The following is a 21,221-nucleotide window of genomic DNA, read 5'->3' on the forward strand; positions in this document are numbered from 1 at the left end:
ATTGAATCTGTAAATTACTTTGGGCAGTATGGCCATTTTCATGATATTGATTCTTCCTGTCCACAAGCATGTAATGTTTTTCCATTTGTTTGTGTCCTCTCTTATTTCCTTGAGCAGTGGTTTGTGGTTCTCCTTGAAAAGATCCTTCACATTTCTTGTGAGTTTTATTCCTAGGTATTTTATTCTCTTTGTAGCAGTTATGAATGGAAGTTCACTCATGATTTGGCTCTCTGTTTGTCTATTATTGGTGTATAGGAATGCTTGTAATTTTGGCAGATTGATTTTTTATCCTGAGACTTTGCTGAAGTTGCTTATCAACTTAAGGAGATTTTGGGCTGAGACGATGGGGTTTTCTAAATATATAATCATGTCATCTGCAAACAGAGACAATTTGACTTCCTCTCTTCCTATTTGAAGACCCTTTATTTCTTTCTCTTGCCTGATTGTCCTGGCCAGAACTTCCAATACTATGTTGAATAGGAGTGGTGAGAGAGGGCATCCTTGTCTTGTGCTGGTTTTCAAAGGGAATGCTTCCAGTTTTGGGCCATTCAGTATGATATTGGCTGTGGGTTTTTTCCTTCTATTTTACTTTTTTTGTTGTTTTTCTTATTTTGATGCTTAGCTCATTAATTTTCAGCCTTTTTTTCTAACAGAAGATTTTAAGACTAAATTTTACTGCTTAGCTGCATCTCGCAAGTTTTTATATTTGTATGTTTGTCATTAGTTTTGTGTTTTCTGATTTCTATTGTTTACTCCTTTGGCCATGAATTATTTGTAAGTATTAATTTTTTTACTGACAGTTTTTTACTAATATATTTCAAAGCTCTTTGTTAAGTATATATAAGTTTAGACTTATGTCTTCCTTTATAATTTTAAAAGTCATTCTTTCCTTATGTACTTATATGCCATTTCCTTATTTCTACTTAAGTCTATATGTTGGATGCAAATATAGCTAAATTGGCTTTCCTTGAAGGCCTCTTTTAAAGTCTTTTATTTGCAATATTTTTGTGTCCTTATTTTTTAAGAATGTCTTATGAACAGCATATCAATAGATTTCTTAAAAATTCAGACTTTTAAAGATAACAGGGAATTTGGTTCACTTAGATTTATTATAATTATTAATATATTTGTGATTATTTTTAGCATTTTAATGTAACATTTCCATTTCTGTTGGTTTTTTTTTTCCTCTTTTTTGGTGATTTTTTTGAGTTTTTCCTTCTCATTTGTTTTGTCCCCTCCACTAGCAGGGAGCTTAGTTATTTTTAAAATTGTTTATTCTGTTATTTTAGAATATATGTTTGTAAATATGCGTGTGTGTGTGTGTGTGTGTGTGTGTGTGTATATGTATATGTCCACATATGTTTGTATTTATATATGTGTATCTTAACAAAGTCTACAGTTATTCAATATTCTTACTCTCCTTGTGAACCATTTAGGTCATTTTTGTTATTCTGCTTCTTGTGTTTACAAAATTGCTCGTATTTAGATTTTTAAAAAAACTTTCTGAATCAGATAATTCTTACTGTCATTAATACAATTATTATTTATTTTCATTTACATACCTGTTTTTCTTTTCACTGTTTATTCATGTATCATAGATTTTCCTCTAGTATTAGTTTCCTTTTTCCTGAAGTGTACATCTTTTAATAAAGGATTATTAAGCCCTCTCATTTTTTTGTCTGAAATCTTATGCTTACTCTTAAGCAACTGTAAATAGCACACTATCTGATTCCTGTTGTTCAAAAGAAAACATAAATAGTAAGATAAACTTAGTATAAAATTTTACTTCTTAAAATATCTATCAAAGTATAATGATTTGTGTATTATCTATTGCTTTGTTTTATCCATACTCCTATACTGTTCTTGCGACATGGATAATCAAGAATAACCTGTAGGAGATTCAGAATCTTTTTTTTTCCTATTACAAAATTAGTCCAAAATAGTTCTCCTATTTCTTTTTATTCCCACTGGATAGTACTTTCTTGCTTGCTCTAATTGCTGTTCTGTTCTAAAAAAATGTCTGAACTTGACTTGTGTTAATTTTCTTTAGTTCCCTTAACTGTCTGGGCACTGAAACGGGTATAGCTATTCTCAATGCATTCTCACTTGTCACAAATTTGTTATTTTGTATGGTTTAGAAAATCAGTGCTTATTTGAAGCAGAACTAGGACTTAGGAGTTCTTCATTTGCATATTTGTAGTTGTCACATTGTGATAACTTGAATGACTAAGTGTCACTAAAGTCTACCAGTATCCTATAAGATTGCCTCATTTTCTGTGTCAGTCTTGATAGAGACTTTGGGGCCAGTATTGTTAGAGTTGGGGAAGTTTAGGTCTTCTGTGCCCCTGTTGTAGGATGAGAGTTCCTGTCTTGCTTTCTGTGTTTGGTTACCTGCCTTCATGATTACCTGGACAACTTTAACTGGGATCTCGCTATCTGCTGCCAGGTTTGCCTGCCTACTTGCCTACCTGCCAGCCTGTACCTGTGACAGTGTTGCTCACTCTGTCCTGTTGCCTGACACTACGTTCTCCAGTTACTGCTGGCCCCTAGCTTGGTTGGATTTTTTTCATCAGTGATGCTGGTTGGACAGACTTCCAAGGAAAACATTTCTGTAGGCATGTTTAATTTTCTCAGACAGCCCATTTTGTTGGTAGTTGAACCCTTGGCTCTAAAGTACCGGTGAGCATTTCAGAAAGGACACAAGCTTTCAAGAGAAAATTAGCTGCAATTAAGAACCTTCTTTTTATTGTAAACATATTGAGTGTTAATATTCTTTGGTTCTAGTTTATTTCTAAACAAAAACCTGCGTGCCATAGAAGTAGAATTTTAGATCTTTTATTTTCTATGTAAAGGTTGATTTCTTAACTTTATTCATGTTGAATTTCATATTATTCTATTTAATTTATCTAAACAAATGGATTATTTTCCTACAGTACTGAAATACTACCTCATTGATTTATTTCATTTTCTGGTTGTTACCTGGTGATTAATTTCTGTAAATCAGCAGAAGTAATAGGACTATACTGTAATATCATTGTACTGTAGTCATAGATACTTGGAAAGCTGAGGTAGGAAGATAGCTTGAGCTCAGGAGTTGGAGGCTGGCTTAGGAGTTGAAGGCTGCAGTGAGCTATGATTGCGCTACTGCACTCCAGCCTGGGCAACAGGGTGAGACCTTGTCTCCTAAGGAAAAAAAAGTGGTATGTAGAGATGGTCAGCTCCCCGAAGGCAAATCTTATTATTATTTTTAATTTCACAGTTACTGGCTCAGTGCCTACCCATAGTGCATAGTCAGTCTTCCATTAATGTTTTGAATAGAAATCAACCAGATGAGCTAGCATTAAAGTTTGGATTCCGAATTTTCATTTATCAATTGCAGAAATATAGGTAATTATAAGATAACTGCATACTGAAGTAATTTATATCCAGATATAAATGTACGTGATCAGTTTGATCAGTTTTCCTTTTCACAAATAAAGTGTTAAACATCAAAGTGGTTTTTAGTATAAATGGGACTTATGAAATGGCAGAGTTCTCTGCCATAATTTCACATCTTATTTTGGAACAAGTGGAAGATTTGTTTCCTTGTGTTCTTTATTTTAAAGCTACACTACAGTTTTATCGGTTAATAATAGACTTATTCTTAAGGCACTGCATCAGATAGTTGAAGGGAAGACATAGTTTTTGCCTCAGTCACTCATGTGCTGTACAGTTTAAAGCCATGGGACAGCCTGGACTTCAGTCTAGCTGCTTGGGTGTCATGCTTGACAGGGGTTAAAACTTGAAGTTCCTTATCTCTTAAACATTTTTATGTTTCTGAGTTCAATCCTGTTAAGATTATTGACAACATTCTTGGAAGACTGTGTCCTAAGGAAGGAAGAATTTTGAAAATAAATGATTTTGCTAGATAGAATGGGAGAAAAGAAATTCTTGGAGTACATATGGGAGGATGAAAGTCAGAATTTTAGGGAGTTATCAGGAAGCAAAAGTAAGTGTGACTAGATTGGCAGTTATGGTTAGAACTGGGTTCCAAAGCTTAGGGAAGGGAGATGATTTTAATTCCTTTTCCAAATGCTGACTGTTACCTTTGAAATTATAGGATTTGGGAGCAAACGTTCATCTTTTAACAAAAGAAAGAATCTGTATTATTATTCTTTCTGTTGATTTCATGGAGATATACAATGCCTAGCTTTGGAGGAGTTAAAAATTGGTGCCTGAGATATCCTACTTAGCCCACTTTACTGTACGACCCCTTTCTTCACACTTCTTTTTGTAGGAACGACAGGAATAGTAGGCAGTAAGCCATACTAACTAAAGCAATTTTAATTGTTTTTCTACCTTTGACTAACTAGTTATGAGAAAGCAACTATATATTTGAGAGGCCTGCTGTCATGATTTCTGGGTAGAAATTTCATAAGCAGCTTTCTAATCTACTCATTTTTAGATTAGAAAGTGGCTTAGTGGTAAGGTACTAGTGTTAGACCCTTATTCTTTATTAATCATTAATCAGTTTCAAATGTGGATTATAAGTGCCCTTTGAGGACAAGACATACTTTGTATTTTGTGTGCAAAAAAAGCCTAAAATGTGGTTGTTGGTCTCAGTAGATCCAGCACTTGCCTAGAACTTAATAAAACTAGTTAAATTTTGTGAATGATTTGCCGGAAGGAGTTTGTGTATGGATAGTTTCTCACCTCCAAACCACTTGCCTAAATATCACTTCCTTGGAGACCTCCCCTGTTCTGCAGTTTAAATTGGCTTCTCAGGCTCTATCATATCACTCTTTTTATTTCCAGAGTGTAACTTATCATTACTTGATGTTTCTTCTTCATTTATTTTTCTCATATTAGAACTTATAGGTTCCAGGATAGTAGAGCCCTTGTCTATCTCATTCACCTCTTTATCCCCAGTGCCTAGGCCACTGCCTAGCACAAGGCAGGTACAGAAAAAATATTCACCAAGTGAATGGGTACATTTTCTTACTCTCACCTTCTTTTTTCTTTTTTGCTTACTTTTATTTGTTAGAGTTATTATGTTGTTATTTGTTAGAGTTATTATGGGAATAAATAATAGGTGTGCCCTAAAAAATAATGAACAGCCTTATCAAATCAGGGCTCTGAGGTAAATACAGTTTCATTAAGTCATCAGCAATGTTAAATTAAGCTTTGAGATTGTATTCGCTCTCTTGTTACATTGATTATATATTTATTTTCATTCATTAAAAATTGTAACTTGGGTAAAATCCCAGACTGTATAAACAATTCCTTTTTAAAATGGATTTGGTTATTTTCAAAGAAAAGATACATTTTCTGTATTAATGCTTAAATTTCCCTAAGAGCTTTTATGATAATTAAGCTTAAAATACCAAAGATGGATATGGTTACATATTTTGCTGATTTCAAAGTTTGGAGAATAGTTAATGAACAACTACTAGAAAGTTAATAGAAATAGTTAATGGACAACCACTTGAATGTAGGAATAAAATTTTCATTTATATCCAAACTAAATCCAGCATATGATAATGGAAGGACAACTCTTGACTTAGTTTGGATGTAAATGAAAAAGCACAAAATGTTGCAAGATTAGTATTTCATTTTGCCTATGGAAAGAATCATTTACTTAGATTTATCAAGTTACTTAGTTACTCGGTATTTAATAACTACCTATAGTTGGAGGATTCTATGAATTCAGATTCTATAAAAGAAATAGTCACTTCTAAAACCTGTCATTAAATTTGCTTTATTTAATGTGATGTGTTTGGTGTTTTCTGAGCAATAGTGGTTGTGGACATAAAAAAATGAAAAGATTATTTTGATTTTAAAAATTAATATTAAATTTATTAATGTTACAGATTCAAACACCTAGTTTTATCTTTGGCTTCTAAGTTCTGTTTATAAAACACATTATTCTTGTTATAAGTATATCAAATTTTAAACATTTAAGGGTTTTTGAATGATACTTAGTCATTTATAAATTTAACCACATTAAACCATTTAAAACTCTATACATTTAATATATTTGATTTTTAATTACTTTTCTGAGAATTGAAAAAATTTTATGCATGTCACAAATTAAACTTACAAATATAGTGACTGTAATGTTCTCTTAAATATGTCAATACTATGTTTAGTGCTAATAAGATTTCTACTTATAATCACAAGTCTCAATCAGTTATTCAATTTTTAATTTTAATCAGAACTACAAGGAATTATTGTCCTGTCACTCTAATAGGTCATATTCTCTTATAAGTTACACATACTTAAAATATGATTGGTTTTGTTATTATAAAATGTTAACAGTATGAATTTGATTCTCCTAAATATTTCATATTTTAAATCTCCTCAGAAGTATATTATCCCAAGCAATTTTCTCAATTATTTGAGGCTGCGTGAAGAATTTGAGCAAGATGTTCATCAGATTTTTGTTAGTTCATTTAAGATATATCAAACTTTATTTATTGATAACAGGCATGTAAAAATTAATTTCTGCTTCACCATGTGGTCTATACCCCTATTCTATTCATTTGTAGAATGTTGTCTGTAATACTTGATTGGATTTTCTATTTCTTTGGCTGTTAAGATAATTAAATACCTTTTCACCAAGCTTTAAAGATCCTTGAACTATATGGACTTCTTTCTCTCTCTCTCTTTTTTTTTTTTTTTCTTCATGTTCTTCCTATCTGGCAGAAGCACAGAAATCTTACTGTTATTAAAATATCTGATTGAATTCTGGCACTCTCTTAAGACTGTTCAGTTATAACTTACAAGATGATTCTACTGATCCTAAGTAAAACTGATCAGTGAAATCTTTTAGTCCTTTGACCCTTCTTCCAGCTTTGTGTGTGTCCTCTATGCTGAGGGAGGGAGGGGGAAATAAGAGTTCTCTTAAAAAGTACACTGATACTAATCCTATAGTGTCCTTTATGTTATAAATGATAGTCTGTGTTCCTTTCAGTTGAGGTCAAAATAAAATGAAGAGAAAGCTCCTGAAACCCTTTTTGAAAGTAGGGGTAGAAAAAGGAAATAACACTAAATGCCTACACCTTAGCAGATGTTTTGCATAGACTATTTAATTTAAATTGATTTCATTCTTACCATAAACCCCCAGGTAAGTAATATTAATCCCTCATAAAGTTTATTTACACATAAGGAGACTGTTATTCAGTAAAGTTAACAACTTTTCAGGGGTCATAAAACTATTAAGCAAAGGAGCCAAAATTTGAATCTAGATGTGTTTATTTTTTTTAAATCCAGATCTCTTTTTTTTAATCCAGATCTCCTTCGTCAGAAGATAAATGACAATAAAATTAAAATTGTGTTCATTTAAAAGATGTTTCTTGTGGCTATGTTTCTTTTCATTTGCTTGTTTTCCCTGCAGATGTATTTAATAGAAAAGCAAAGTTCCAATGTGCTTTCTAAATCATCCCTATTGGTTTTGTAGACCCATTTATTGGCAGGGAAGATACATGTTCTATAGAGCTGGCATCTGCTTGCAGGTTTCTATAGCCTTTCCTCTATGTAAATTAGTTTGAATAGGTAAAGGGGAGAATTGAGTAGTGATATGATGTATTTAGTCTGGAAGGAAAATTGTAAATTCACTAACTTCCTGACTCTTTTAAATGTTCTCTTCTCCTTCCTCTGCTTTATAAGAAAACAAGACTGGTTAATAAAAAAAACAAAACTTATAAATAAATGACACATTTGCCTTAAAAGGGAAACTTGAACCTTAATGAGGGGTGGTTTATTTTTTCAGATAACTTGGGTGTCTTTTGGTTGTATTGAATGTTTTGTGCTTTTCAAAATCATATCATGAATAATAATATTAGTATTATTCTAATAACCCAGTAGGTTGAGTATACTAGGTATTATTCCCATTTCATTAATAAGTAAATAAAAAAAACTGATAGCCTGAGTCATCGGGCCGGACAAATTCAGAGCCAAAAATCTATAATATTTTAAGCAAAAGGTTATGTTTGAAAGACTGTGAGGTTCCTTATATGTATAAAATTGGATAGATTTAGGAGTTCTATCTGGTTATCTTTATAGGAAGTTTAAGTATTCAGAGTTAAGGTTATTTTTAGAAATGACTGGGTGCCCTTTTGCAAAAACTGTTTTGAACTATTTATATGAATTGTAGTATCAAATAGTGCCAAATTTGGATACAAATGTCCTTTTAGGCAGCAAAGTACTATTTAAAGTATGAATTAAAGTATTTGGAAAATGTTTGCCCTTATCGTTTAACACATTCATGTTTTACTCGTGAATTAAGCACAAATCGTAGAACAGATTTGTATTGGTACAGCCAATGTATTTGAGTGGAGCCCAAGTATTGATATGTCAGAGGGTGGTCATTTTGCCTTATTTTTTTAATCAATATTGTTGACTATTTTATAAATATTTCAATGCCTACTATGTGCCTAAAAGTATTCTATGAGAAATGTATTGAATCTACTTTTTGAATCTTCATTGGGTTTCGGGATAGAAACTTTAGAGTCAAATGAATTTTCTGGGATTCACTGTACATCAACTAATCCCCTAGTCTTAATTTAAATCTTTTCAACATCAGGAGTGACAGGTTTTTTTGTTGCAGGTCACCTGTGAATGGGTCCTTTATATAGAATGAGACTTTAAAAAATATTTGTTTATGTCTAATCCATCCTCACATTAACTCATGGTATGTTTCTGGGTAGTTTGTTGTCTCCAAATTTTATAAACCACAAAAATGTGCTGCTGCTGAGATGTCAGTAATTAATTATTTTTATAAATAATCTTTTGTCAACTCTGGTGCCTTAGCTGTTCTTAGGTTTTTAAAGAATATCCTGATAAAGCAAAGTTCTCATATATTATTATATTGGATTGTCAGTTGAAATTAGTGGTTTTTTTAATTAAGAAAAAGCCACTCAGAATTTTGTAAAATATTGTAAAATATTCAAGGGTTTTCCCCATGTTGTGAATGTATGACATATGACTCTAAATTGGATTTCTTTAACCTCTTTCTCATAAAAAAAATCTCACTTTTCTGTTAAAGGAATGCAGAAGTTATTCCTTATAAGGAAAACATCAGGAGTTCTATTTATAAGCGTATAGTATTCAATCAAAAAACTCATGTTGAAAATTCAGATAAATAGCTAGCAAAATCACACATTAAAAAATACATTGAAATGATGTATGTGTAATCTAAAAAAAATTAATATACGTGAAATGCAGTGAATTCCACCTTAATTTTGGGCTTGATCTTGGGAGTCTGAGTGACTACAGTGTCATTGACTTGAGCATGAAAGGACTAAGTATATTCCTGCTGGAGTCAAGCTCGCATATTAACACAGCTCCCTTTGAATTTCTGTATCTGTGGGTTTTGGTGTAGGCAGAAGACTTGCCACAGAATAACAGGATAATTCACAGTAGAACTTTCCTTTCCTGGATTTGCTTCCTGTTCATACATGCTTTATCAGTAAAATGACTTACTTTTAAATACATGAAGTCACAGAATTGAAAATTCAAAATAGAAATTGCTTAAATACAGCAAAAAAATCTAGTTATTCAAGATACTTGGGGAATCAGGCATTTGGGTTTATGAAACCACATAGCCATAAAATATAAACAAACAATTCTCAAAATATTAAAATATATTTAATATGGAAACTTCTTTGAATAAGTAGTTTTTGTGTAAATGTGACATTTTAGGAATTTGAAATGAATTTTGGGTTTACCAGTTATGCCACACTTAACTTGGATTGGTGAAGCATGGAAATGAAAACCCTTTCTTAATGAGACTTTCTAAATTTTAATATGATGGATAACTCAATTTTAAAGTATAGTTTCTATTTTTTATAGCAGCTTTATTGAGATATAATTCACATACCATAAAATTTTTAGTATACTTGCAGAATTGGTCAGCCACAATCAATTTTAGAAATTTCCATCACCCCATCCCTGGCTCACATTAGCCACAGGCAGCTGCTAATCATATGTTTTTTTCTGGATTGGCTTGTTCTGTACATTTTATGTAAATAGAATCATATAATATGTGGTCTTCTGTGTCTTCTACCTTTCACCTAACAATGTTTTCATCCATGTTGTAGTGTATACCAATATTTAGTTCCTTTTTGTAGTCAAATAATATTCATTGCATGGATATACATGTTGAGTTTCCCTTTTCAGAAATGCGTGGGACCAGAATGTTTTGGATTTTTGATTTTTTGAAGTTTTGAATATTTGCAATACTTTATGTATTAGGCAAGCCTTTGTGACATATTCAACAATATCTTTACACCAGATAGTAGAGAATAAGCAGAAAAACCACAATAAGTGATGCACATAGGTCTTGGCCTCATGTGGGGGCATTGTGGGGAACCTGGCATTGGCATATCCCATTGGCATATCCACCTGCACATGTGCCATTTTATTACCCTTTGTCTGAGTGTTTGTGTAGGAGAATAAGGGCATGTAGGAAAATATATATTCCAACTGAAGAGGGTTGGAGGGGTCTTTTTTCCCTTGGGGACACTGACTAAATTGTTTATTGTGCGCCTGTGTTCTGAATGCAACTTGTCACAAGAAGTCAGGTGTGGAATTTTCCATTTATGGAGTTATATTTGTGCTCAAAATGTTTTGAATTTCTGGGTTAGGGTTGCCCAAACTGTACCATATTTTATTTATCCATTTATCAGTTGAGAGACATTTGGGTAGTTTCCTCATTTTGGCTGTTATTAATAATGCTGCTGTAAACATTCATGTGGAAATTTTTGCAGGGACATAGGCTTTCTTTTTTTTAGATAATTATCTGGGAGTGTATGGTTAATATTTGAAAGATTAATTTTACTTTTTTAAATTTATACTTTAAGTTCTGGGATACATGTGCAGAATGTGCAGTTTACATAGGTATACATGTGCCATGGTGGTTTGCTGCACCCATCAACCTGTCATCTACATTAGGTATTTCTCCTAATGCTATCCCTCGCCTAAATCCCCACCCGCTGACAGGCCCTGGTGTGTGATGTTCCCCTCCCTGTGTCCATGTGATCTCATTGTTCAACTCCAAATTATGAATGAGAACATGTGGTGTTTGGTTTTCTGTTCCTGTCGTAGTTTGCTGTAAATGATGGTTTCCAGCTTCATCCATGTCCCTGCAAAGGACATGAACTTATCCTTTTTATGGCTGCATAGTATTCCATGGTATATATGTGCCACAATTTCTCTATCCAGTCTGTCATTGATGGGCATTTGGGTTGGTTCCAAGTCTTTGCTATTGTGAACATTGCTGTAATAAACATACGTGTGCATGTGTCTTTTTAGTAGAATGATTTGAGTATATACCCAGTAATGGGATTGCTGAGTCAAATGGTATTTCTAGTTCTAGATCCTTGAGGAATCACCACAATGTCTTTCACAGTGGTTGAACTAACTTACACTCCCACCAACAGTGTAAAAGTGTTCCTATTTCTCCACATCCTCTCCAGCATCTGCTGTTTCCTGACTTTTTAATAATTGCCATTCTAACTAGCATGAGATGGTATCTCATTGTGGTTTTCATTTGTATTTCTCTAATGAGCAGTGATGATGAGCTTATGTTTGTTGGCTGCAAAAATATCTTCTTTTGAAAAGTGTCTGTTCATATTCTTTGCCCACTTCTTGGTGGGGTTGTTTGTTTTTTTTTCTTGTAAATTTGTTTAAGTTCTTTGTAGATTCTGGATATTAGCCCTTTGTTAGATGGATAGATTGCAAAAATTTTCTCCCATTCTATAGGTTGCCTGTTCACTCTGGTAATAGTTTCTTTTGCTGTGCAGAAGCTCTTTAATTTAATTAGGTCTCATTTATCAATTTTGGCTTTCATTGCTATTGCTTTTGGTGTTTTAGTCATGAAGTCTTTGCCCATACCTATGTCTTGGATGGTACTGCCTAGATTTTCTTCTAGGGTTTTTATGGTTTTAGGTCTTATGTTTAAGTCTGTAATCCATCTTGAATTAATTTTTGTATATGGTTTAAGTAAGGGGTCCAGTTTCAGTTTTCTGCTTATGGCTAGCCAGTTTTCCCAACACCGTTTATTAAATAGGGAATCCATTACCCATTGCTTGTTTTTGTCAGGTTTGTCAAGGATCAGATGGTTGTATGTGTGGCATTATTTCCGAGGCCTCTGTTCTGTTCCATTGGTCTATATATTTGTTTTGGGTAGCAGTACCATGCTGTTTTGGTTACTGTAGCCTTGTAGTATAGTTTGAAGTCAGGTAACATGATGCCTCTAGCTTTGTTCTTTTTGCTTAGGATTGTCTTGGCTATATGGGCTTTTTTTTTTGTTTCATGTAAAATTAAAGTAGTTTTTTTCTAATTCTGTGAAGAAAGTCAATGGTAGCTTGATGGGGATGGCATTGAATCTATAAATTACTTTGGGCAGTATGGCCATTTTCACAATGTTGATTCTTCCTATCCATGAGTATGGAATGTTTTTCCATTTGTTTGTGTCCTCTCTTATTTCCTTGAGCAGTGGTTTGTAGTTCTCCTTGAAGAGGTCCTTCACATTCCTTTAAGTTGTATTCGTAGGTAGTTTATTCTCTTTGTAGCAATTGTGAATGTGAGTTCACGTATTATTTGGCTCTCTGTTTGTCTCTTATTGGTGTATAGGAATGCTTGTGATTTTTGCACATTGATTTTTTTATCCTGAGATTTTGCTGAAATTGCTTATCAGCTTAAGGAGATTTTGGGCTGAGACCCTGGGGTTTCTAAATATACAACATATACAGTCATGTCATCTGCAAACAGAGACAATTTGACTTCCTCTCTTCCTGTGTGAATACCTTTATTTCTTTCTGCCCTGGCCAGAACTTCCAATACTGTGTTGAATAGGAGTGGTGAGAGAGGGCATCCTTGTCTTGTGCTGGTTTTCAAAGGGAATGCTTCCAATTTTTGGCCATTGATTATGATATTGACTGTGGGTTTGTCATAAAAAACTCTTCTTATTTTGAGATACATTCCATCAATGCTTAGTTTACTGAATTTTTAGCATGAAGGGGTGTTGAATTTTATTGAAGGCCTTTTCTGCATCTATTGAGATAATCATGTGGTTTTTGTCATTGGTTCTGTTTATGTGATGGATTACGTTTATTAATTTGCCTGTGTTGAACCAGCCTTGCATCCCAGGGATGAAGCTGACTTGATCATGGAGGATAGGCTTTTTAATGTGCTGCTGGATTTGGTTTGCCAGTGTTTTATTGAGGATTTTCGTATTGATGTTCTTCAGGAATATTGGCCTGAAATGTTCTTTTTTTATTGTGTCCCTGCAGGGTTTTGGTATCAGGATGATGCTGGCCTCATAAAATGAGTTTGGGAGGAGTCCCTCTTTTTCTGTTGTTTGAAATAGTTTCAGCAGGAATGGTTACTGCTCCTCTTTGTACCTTTGGTAGCATTTGGCTGTGAATTCGTCTGGTCCTGGGCTTTTTTTCGTTGGTAGGCTATTAATTACTGCCTCAATTTAGAACTGGTTATTGATCTATTCAGGGATTCGAATTCTTCCTGGTTTAGACTTGGGAGAGTGTATATGTTCAGGAATTTATCCATTTCTTACTAGAGTTTCTAGTTTATTTGCATAGAGGTGTTTATAGTATTCTCTGATGGTAGTTTGTATTTCTGTGGGAGATCAGTGGTGATATCCCCCTTATCATTTTTGTTGTGTCTATTTGTATCTTATCCCTTTTTTTCTTTATTAGTCTGGCTAGTGGTCTATTTTGTTGATCTTTTCAAAAAAGCAGCTCCTGGATTCATTGATTTTTTTTTGAAGGGTTTTTCATGTCTCTGTCTCCTTCATTTCTGCTCTGATCTTAGGTATTTCTTGTCTTCTGCTAGCTTTTGAATTTGTTTGCTCTTGCTTCTCTAGTTCTTTTAATTGTGATGTTAGAGTATCAATTTTAGATCTTTCCTGCTTTCTCTTGTGGGCATTTAGTGCTATAAATTTTTCTCTAAACACTGCTTTAGCTGTGTCCCAGAGATTCTGGTACATTTGTGTCTTTGTTCTCATTGGTTTCAAAGAACTTATTTATTTATACTTTAATTTTGTTACTTACCCAGTAGTCATTCAGGAGCAGGTTGTTCAGTTTCCATGTAGTTGCGTGGTTTTGAGTGAGTTTCTTTTTTTTTGTTTTGAGGTGGAGTCTTGCTCTGTTGCCAGGCTGGAGTGCAGTGGTGCGATCCTGGCTCAGTGCAAGCTCTTGAGTGAGTTTCTTAATCCTGAATTCTAATTTGATTGCACTGTGGTCTGGGAGACTGTTTGTTGTGATTTCCATTCTTTTACATTTTTTGAGGAGTGTTTTACTTCCAATTATGTGGTCAATTTTAGAATAAGTGCAATGTGGTTCTGAGAAGAATGTATATTCTGTTGATTTGGGGTGGAGAGTTCTGTAGATGCCTATTAGGTCAACTTGGTCCAGAGCTGAGTTCAAGTCCTGAATATCCTTGTTAATTTTCTGTCTTGTTTATCTGTCAAATACTGACTGTGAAGTGTTCAAGTCTCCCACTATTATTGTGTGGGAGTCTAAATCTCTTCGTAGGTCTCTAAGAACTTGCTTTATGAATCTGGGTGCTCCTGTAGTGGGTGCATGTGTTTTTAGGATAGTTAGCTCTTCTTGTCGCATTGATCCCTATACCATTATGTAATGCCCTTCTTTGTCTCTTTTTTTTTTGAGACGGAGTCTCGCTCTGTCGCCCAGGCTGGAGTGCAGTGGCGGGATCTCGGCTCACTGCAAGCTCCGCCTCCCGGGTTCACGCCATTCTCCTGCCTCAGCCTCCCAAGTAGCTGGGACTACAGGCGCCCGCCACTACGCCCGGCTAATTTTTTATATTTTTAGTAGAGACGGGGTTTCACCGTTTTAGCCGGGATGGTCTCGATCTCCTGACCTCGTGATCCACCCGCCTCGGCCTCCCAAAGTGCTGGGATTACAGGCGTGAGCGTCTCTTTTGATCTTTGTTGGTTTAAAGTCTGTTTTATCAGAGACTAGGATTGCAACCCCTGCTTTTTTTTTGCTTTCCGTTTGCCTGGTAAATATTCTTCCATCTCTTTATTTTGAGCCTATGTGTGTCTTAGCACATAAGATCGGTCTCCTGAATACAGCACACCGATGAGTCTTGACTCCATCCAATTTGCCAGTCTGTGTCTTTTAATTGTGGCATATAACTTGTTTACATTTAAGGTTAAGAAGTTCTCCTGGATAATATCCTAAAGAGTGTTTTCCAGCTTGGTTCCATTCTCCCTGTCACTTTCAGGTACACTAATCAAATGTAGGTTTGGTCTTTTCACATAGCCCCATATTTCTTGGAGGCTTTGTTTGTTCCTTTTGATTCTTTTTTCTCTAATCTTGTCTTCATGCTTTATTTCATTAAGTTGATCTTCAATCTTGGATACGCTTTCTTCTGCTTGATCGATTCGGCTATTGATACTTGTGTATGCTTCACGAAGTTCTCGTGCTGTGTTTTTTAGCTCCATCAGGTCATTTATGTTCCTCTCTAAACTGGTTATTCTAGTTAGCAATTCATCTAACCTTTTTTCAAAGTTCTTAGCTTCTTTGCATTGGGTTAGAACATGCTCCTTTAGCTTGGAGGAGTTTGTTATTACCCATGTTCTGAAGCCTACTTCTGTCAATTCGTCAAACTCATTCTCCATCCAGTTTTGTTCCCTTACTGGCAAAGAGTTGTGATGATCCTTTGGAGGAGAAGAGGCATTCTGGTTTTTGGAATTTTCAGCCTTTTTGTGCTGGTTTTTCCTCATCTTTGTGGATTTATCTACCTTTGTGTTTTCATGTTGACCTTTGGATGGGGTTTCTGTGTGGACGTCCTTTTTGTTAATATTGATGCTATTCCTTTCTGATTGTTAGTTTTCCTTCTAACAGTCAGGCCCCCCTGCTGCAGGTCTGCTGGGGTTTGCTGCAGGTCTACCCCAGAGCCTGTTTGCCTGGGTATTACCAGTGGAGGCTGTCAAACAGCAAAGATTGCTGCCTGTTCCTGCCTCTGGAAGCTTTGTCTCAGTGGGGCACCTTCCAGATGCCAGTCAGATCTCTCCTGTATGAGGTATCTGTCGACCCCTGCTGGGAGGTGTCTCCCAATCAGGAGGTACAGGGGTCAGCAACGCACTTGAGGAGGCAATCTGATGCTTAGCAGAGCTTAAGCACTGTGCTGGGAGACTCCCTGCTCTCTTCAGAGCTGGCAGGCAGGAGTGTTTAAGTCTGCTGAAGCTGCGCCCAGAGCCACCCTTTCCCCCAGGTGCTCTGTCCCAAGGAGATGGGAGTTTTATCTATAAGCCTCTGACTGGGGCTGCTGCCTTTCTTTTGGAGATGCCCTGCCCAGAGAGGAGGAATGTAGAGAGTCAGTCTGGCTATTGTGCCTTTGCTGAGCTGTGTTGGGCCCCACCCAGTTCGACCTTTCTGGTGGCTTTGTTTACACTGTGAGGGGGAGAACCGCCTACTCAAGCCTCAGTAATGGTCGACACCCCTGCCCCCACCAAGCTGGGGTGTCCCAGGTCGACTTCATACTGCTGTGCTGGCAACGAGAGTTTCAAGCCAGTGGGTCTTAGCTTGGTGGGCTCCATGGGGGTGGGATCCACTGAGCTAGACTGCTTGGCTCCCTGCCTTCAGCCCCCTTTCCAGGGAGTGAACGGTTCTGTCTCACAGGCATTCCAGGTGCCACTGGGGTATGAAAAAACACTCCAGCAGCTAGCTTGGTGTCTGCCCAAACGGCCATCCAGTTTTGTGCTTGAAACCCAAGGCCCTGGTGGCATAGGCACCAAAGGGAAACTCCTGGTCTGCAGATTGCAAAGACCATGGGAAAAGTATAGTATCTGGGCTGGAGTGAACCGTTCCTCACTCCACAGTCCCTCACGGCTTCACTTGGCTAGTGGAGGGAGTTCCCTGACCCCTTGCACTTACCGGGAGAGGCAATGCCCCAACCTGCTTTGGCTCATGCCCCACCCTGCTTTGTCTCACTGTCTGTGGGCTGTACCCACTCTCTAACCAGTCCCAATGAGATGAGCTGCGTACCTCGGTTAGAAATGTAGAAATCACCCATCTTCTGTGTTGACCTTGTTGGGAACTGCAGACTGGAGCTGTTCCTATTTGACCATCTTGCCAGCCACCTTTTTTTTTTTTTTTTTTTTTGAGATAGAGTCTCTCTCTGTTGCCCAGGCTGGAGTGCAGTGGTGCGATTTCAGCATATTGCAACCTCCGCCTCCTGGGTTCAAGCGATTCTTCTGCCTCAGTCTCCTCAGTAGCTGGGACTACTTAATTTTACATTGTTAAGAGTAAACAGGGTTCTGTATTCTGTATATAAAGAACTGACATAAGGAAGCATCCTTGAGTAGTGGAAATGGGTTTTCTAACCATGGCTTTAGTATTTAAATCTTCTGTACCTCTAATTTCTTACATAGTAAGTGGAAGTTCAACAACTGGAAGATCTCTGTGGTCTTTAGCGTCCTCACCCTCTCTCTATGCTTTCTCATTCAGCAAACATTTGTCAAGTGTCTACTCTGTGGCAGAATTTGTGTAAGAACTTGGGGATAGTCTGTCTTCAGATGAGCTCAGAGTCTAGTAGGAGAGAGGGGAAAGGGACAAAAGAGAAAAAAAAGCAATACTTGTAAGTCAACCGTTAGAAGCCAGTGTGGTGAGTGCCTCAAGAGTGATAATCACTTAGTGGTGGACCACTGAGGAGCCTCCCACTGGGGGTCAGGGTGCAGTGGGGGAGGTCTAGGAAGATTTCTTGGTAGAAATCACATTTAAGTAATCCTCAGGTAGTCAGCCAAGTGTATTAATGGGCAAATGGCATTTTATGACAAAAGCTACTTGGTAATCATTTCATGCTTGAAATTTTGGATAAATGAATTGCTAAAGATGACCAAGCAAGAAAAGACTGCAACGCTTTTTTTCTTTATTACCCATGGCCAGATTTCCTAGTTATTTTCTCATTGCAAAAGAATGTGAAACAAACTGATTAAGTGTAAAATAACTCTTAACTCTTATTTAGACTATCGTAGTCATCTTCAAAACTCTTTGAGATCATCTTGAGAATTCACAGTTTTCTATTCTTTTTGTTGCTAGCAGGTGAAATTATGTACCTTTGGAACCCTCTGTATGGGTCAGTCTGTGGTACTCACAGTAGTCTTTATATAGGAGTGTTTGCATGTGATTGCAGGTCAGCGGAGAAGCAAACAAAGCAATAACCAAAAAAGGTGTGCTGAAAGTTGCTGTTTCAACTCATAGACATAGTAATCTAGTTGAAGTATTTTAACAATCTCTTCAGTGCTATTCAGAAGACAAATACATTGAACTTTGTTAATCTATTGAGATTTTCAGGATTTTTAAATTGGTTAGGATATAAGAATTCTTTCTTCCTAAGTTTTTCCCTTTGCTTTCATAGTCATTTCCTTTAAAACCTGATTTAAAGCTTTGTGTTGAAGAAGGCTTCCATCATTACAAACTCTCCTTATGCAATTTATTTACATACTTCAGTACAACTTATTACCCAGTTTGTATTCTCATAATGAGTTGATTCTAAATTAAAATACAGAGATATTTCTGTTATGGCCATGATGACCCAGGCACACATAGAAGGTGGCTGTGGGATGTGAATAATAATGCCTAATTTTAATTCATAAAAGCAGTTGTCTGTTTTTTCATACAACCTTGGTATTGTACTGTACTTATTACTGGTCTTTTGTACTGTGTATATATGGTCTTGTTATTTTTATTAGGTAGTTTATCTAAGTTTTAGTTCTAGTTATGTAAGTGGATAAGATTCACATTGATTTTGACTTTCATGATTTATTACATTAATGCAAATCAAACATTGACCAGAGAGAAAAGCAACAACCTTTCTTAGATGAAACAATGCATTCCTAACTTATGCTGTTAGGACCAATTTTTTTTTTTTTTCCCTGCAAATGTGACAGGCTTCTTGTTCTCTAGCAGTGACCTCTACCTTGGCCCTGACTCAGCTGGTATGATGGTTCTTTGTGCAAATATTTTCTCAACCTTCAATTTGTCACAAGTAGCTAAGCATTATCCCGTGAATAATAGATTTATGATTTTGCTAGCATTAGCACAGTGACTAGGATACTAACTTATTCCAGCTGTGTTTCCTGGGTTTGAGTTTTCTTCCCAGGAACTGGCCTTTCTGAGCAAGAAGAGAATGAATGGCCGATTAAGTAGATTTGCAGTAGGTGTACACTGGCAGCCTAGAGGAAGATTAATCTGAAGACAGGTTGAGAGCACCTGGAACATTTTAGGATTTAGGTGATCTGACTATTAAGTGTTGCCAAGTCATGGGACCTGGTAACTACCATGTTACTGATGGGGAGACTGGATCTTAGAGAGTTAGAGGATCTTGTCAAAAAGTCATCCCATTCTAAATTTAATACACTCTTACTGAATCCAAGTTTCATGTTCTTTCCATTCCATAACAGTTATAAAGACCAATGGAATGAATAGATTCTTAATGGTAAGGAAATAATGACTTCCTGGACACAATATATTTTTAAAAACCGGAAGTAGAAATTACTTCGTACTTTTCCAGGATGTTTCAGTCATTTAAAACAATGCTGAGATTTCACTTCCTTCACTTTTTTGCTTTATGAGATTTTGTCCCTTGTCTTAAATACTGTGAAAACAAGAAACCTCCACAAAATATTGAAGCAAGAAATATATCTACCACATCATAAAAATAATGTGTTTTTATATTTTGGTTATTGTTTACTAAGTTATTTTCTACCTTAGGTTATAAACTAGAGTTGAAAAGGGCTGAACTGCTTATTTTTAAAAAGTGATTTAATAAGATTATTGTTTAGGAGATGTAGAGAGAATGATAGGCTAAAAAAATGCCTTGAATTGTAATGATGTCATGTGTTGAGAACCAAAAAGCGAGTTTGGGACTTAAGCATTCCCTTGAAGAATAGATGGATAAGAAAAAAAGTGAACGTTATAGATTTTGGAGAGTTGAACTGTTGGTGGTGGAGAATGACAGACTAAAATGAATATAGTAAGTGAGATAGGAATTAGCATGTTGAATGAACATTTGTAATCAGAGTAGATAATTCATAGGGGACAAGAGAGAGATAGGGATTAGATAGTGTCAGAATTAGGAAGATGACCTTTATTTATGGTATATAAGTCAAGTTATAGAACAGAGAAAACAAAAGTGGTGTTTTAGAAATTTTATTTTTTTTCTTTCTTTCTTTTTTTTTTTTTTTGAGAAAATGTCTCGCTCTATTGCCCAGGCTGGAGTGCAGTGGCACAATCATAGCTCACTGTTGCCTCAACCTCAAGGCTCAAGTGATCTTTCCATCTCAGCCTCCCAAGTAGCTGGAATTACAGGCGCATGCTGTCACATCCAGCTAATTTTTTATTTTTCGTAGAGACAGGGTCTCATTATGTTGCCTAGGCTGGTCTCAGACTACTGAGCTCAAGCAATCCTTCCACTTCAGCCTCCCTAAGTGCTAGGATTGCAGGCATGAGCCACTATGCCTGACCTCAGAAATTTTAATTTGAGGAAATGTAGACACCATTTAGGAAATTGATTGTGGTTTTAGGATCCTGCACTCTGGCAACAATAGTAGGCTTTGAGAGATGAAGGATGTGATATTGGATGAACTGCATGAGTTAAGGATGAATCTGAGATAGAGGTTCTGAAACTTGAGTGTGTATTAGGATCGCCTAAGGAGCTTGGTAAGGTTCTGATTTTGGCAGGTTGGGTAAGAGGACAGAAATTGCATTTTTAAAGGCAGTCTCGGCATTTCTGATGTAAATGGTAAACAAGTTCCTAGCCAGAGACACCAGGATAATCATAGATAGAGAAATGGAAATTAGGAGAATAGTTTTATAAGATGAAATGGTAAGTTTAGTTTTGGATAAGTTGAGTGTTATCTTTATATATTGCAATGAGTTTGATGACAGGACATCCAAATGGAACGAGCTGTCCAATAAAAATAGATCTTTGTGTTGGATTGTAGTGTGAGAGTGGATGATGTATCAGAGGAAGGTGTTGGAAAAAGAACAAGAGCATGTCCTTTTCTTCTGATTAATTCATCTAAGAAACACTGGGGCAGTGATGGGTCTCTTTAGTTACGTCAGGTCAACACAGTTTCATTCTTGTTTCTCTTCTAAAAAAACATTGACGCTTCTTGTTTTATTTTCTTAACTCCTGGGAAACGTACATAAATGTCTTTGCCACAGTCAAGCTGGTCTTGACTGGATAACAGC

At 36.0% G+C, this 21,221-nt stretch overlaps 1 protein-coding gene across 43 annotated transcripts in view, besides 1 other annotated feature; it reads left to right on the forward strand.

The window, feature by feature from the left end:
• Positions 1 to 21,221, forward strand: part of PPP1R9A (protein phosphatase 1 regulatory subunit 9A) — a 389,180-nt gene that overhangs the window by 46,289 nt on the left and 321,670 nt on the right. The window lies entirely within an intron of this gene.
• Positions 15,574 to 16,416: an enhancer, noted in NCBI's record as "H3K27ac-H3K4me1 hESC enhancer chr7:94598410-94599252 (GRCh37/hg19 assembly coordinates)". NCBI's record gives its function as "activates a minimal SCP1, AML or CMV promoter by ChIP-STARR-seq in naive H9 embryonic stem cells {active_cell/tissue: H9 hESC(naive)}" and the evidence as "EXISTENCE:reporter gene assay evidence [ECO:0000049][PMID:30033119]".

This window comes from Homo sapiens, chromosome 7, assembly GCF_000001405.40.
Source record: "Homo sapiens chromosome 7, GRCh38.p14 Primary Assembly".
In the NCBI taxonomy this organism is placed as follows: domain Eukaryota; kingdom Metazoa; phylum Chordata; class Mammalia; order Primates; family Hominidae; genus Homo; species Homo sapiens.